This window comes from Homo sapiens, chromosome 15 (assembly GCF_000001405.40).
Source record: "Homo sapiens chromosome 15, GRCh38.p14 Primary Assembly".
Lineage (NCBI taxonomy): Eukaryota > Metazoa > Chordata > Mammalia > Primates > Hominidae > Homo > Homo sapiens.
In genome coordinates, this window is record NC_000015.10 from 95863642 (window position 1) to 95865532 (window position 1891).

Here is a 1891-nt window from a genome sequence, read left to right on the forward strand (position 1 = left end):
GGAATTTAAATAAAACATTCAAAGTTGACGATGGCAGAGAAGCTGTGCAAGACAAGCAGAGACAAAGGCATATCATGGTGCAGAAAACCCCAGCAATACCATAGGCACAATGCCCACTGCAAGAACTGCAAGTAGTGGCACAGATGCAGTTGGCCACACAGTTGATATGTAAATCACAGTCTTAAGCTTAAGAAAACCATAAATAAAAGCACAAATAATATTCATCAGTGAGAGCCCATGAACAAGAAATCCAGGCTCCCCAGTGCTCAAGTTAAAAGATCACTGTTGGCAGGGCACAGTGGCTCATGCCTGTAATCCCAGCACTTTGGGAGGCCACAGTGGGTGGATCACCTGAGGTCAGGAGTTTGAGACCAGTCTGACCAACGTGGTAAAACCCCATCTCTGCTAAAAATACAAAAAAATTAGCCTGGTGTGGTGGCGGGTGCAGATAATCCCAGCTACTCGGGAGGCTGGGGCAGGAGAATCACTTGAACCCAGGAGGCAGAGGTTGCAGTGAGTGGAGATCGCACCATTGCACTCCAGCCTGGGTGACAAGAGCAAGACTCTATCTCAGGCCAAAAAAAAAAAAAAAAAAGGAAAAAAAATCACTGTCTACTTTTTCCCTAAAAGAGAGAGAAAAAAAAGGGGGATGCACAAGAGGGGGAAGAAAGGAAGAAAAGGAAGGGAAGGAAAGAAAAAGGAAGGGAAGAAAATTAAAAGACCCTCTGGCTAAACATCCCAGGTTCCTACTTCCTAGCAAGGGTTTCTTTGCTAGAGTTTCAAAAGAAAGAGGTAAATGAAGTGTGGGGAGAACACAGAGGTGTCAGATACATTTCCATAAAGCTGTGTGTATTTTCAGAGTATTAAGCTTAATGTGGTGAGTGCAGTGAAACAGAAAAGAATTTCAGACTTTAGAGCTGTTAGTAAACAAAGCTAAACAAAAGATGAAAAAAATTTGCAAATGTGGTGAAGACAGTTGAAAGATGTCACATGTTTCTCTATCTCTAGTGTGGTTTCAAAATAGACTAAGAGGGCCAGGTGCGGTGGCTCATGCTTGTCATCCCAGCACTTTGGCCAGGGTGGATGCATCACTTGACGTCAGGTGTTGGAGACCAGCCTGGCCAACACAGCAAAACCCTGTCTCTACTAAAAACACAAAAATTAGCCAGGTGCAGTGGCGTGTGCCTGTAATCCTAGCTACTTGGGAGGCTGAGGCATGAGAATCACTTGAACCCAGGAGGCAGAGGTTGCAGTGAGCTGAGATCATGCCACTGCACTCCAGCTTGGAAACAGAACAAGAGTCTGTCTCAAAAACTAAAAATAAAATAAAAATTAAAAAAAGAATAGGAGCAGAGAGAGAGAGAGAATCAAATGGATGTTTCCTATAGATTCCAGTTGGATCAGGAATCAGGAAAGCCAATACAATTGAATCCTTCCTTTTAGATTAATAAATCAATATTTGTCCAAACTCTTTGAAACAGATGATGTTTTCCCATTAAATAAGTAGGACAAATTATAAATTATATGAGACAGTAAACATTCAAAAATAAATACAATACTATAATTTAATTTCTTAAGTATATTTTCCACTTAGGTTTAAATCGTGTGTCCTTATGTGTGTGATCTTTCCACCTCTGTCACTACTTTTATTCTAGTCTTTGGAGAGAAAGGAAACATCCCGTATGGATGCAGTCTGGCTTCTGAATCCAGAAGGCTCACATCAAGGATGATGCTGCTATATTGTTGTACCAGCATAAAAGAAGACATCCAGGTGGTGTTGGCAAAATTACGCAAGAGGTTAATTTCCTCTTCCTCCTGGACAGACAGCCAGTCTGCCTCTCTCTTCTTCCCTTGAAGTTGGCTGTGGCCATATGACAGTGATTAGACTAAT

The 1891-nt window shown here is 41.8% G+C and overlaps 1 annotated feature.

The window, feature by feature from the left end:
• Positions 791-1050: an enhancer, noted in NCBI's record as "active region_10138". NCBI's record gives its function as "activates an Ori minimal core promoter by ATAC-STARR-seq in GM12878 lymphoblastoid cells {active_cell/tissue: GM12878}" and the evidence as "EXISTENCE:reporter gene assay evidence [ECO:0000049][PMID:35858748]".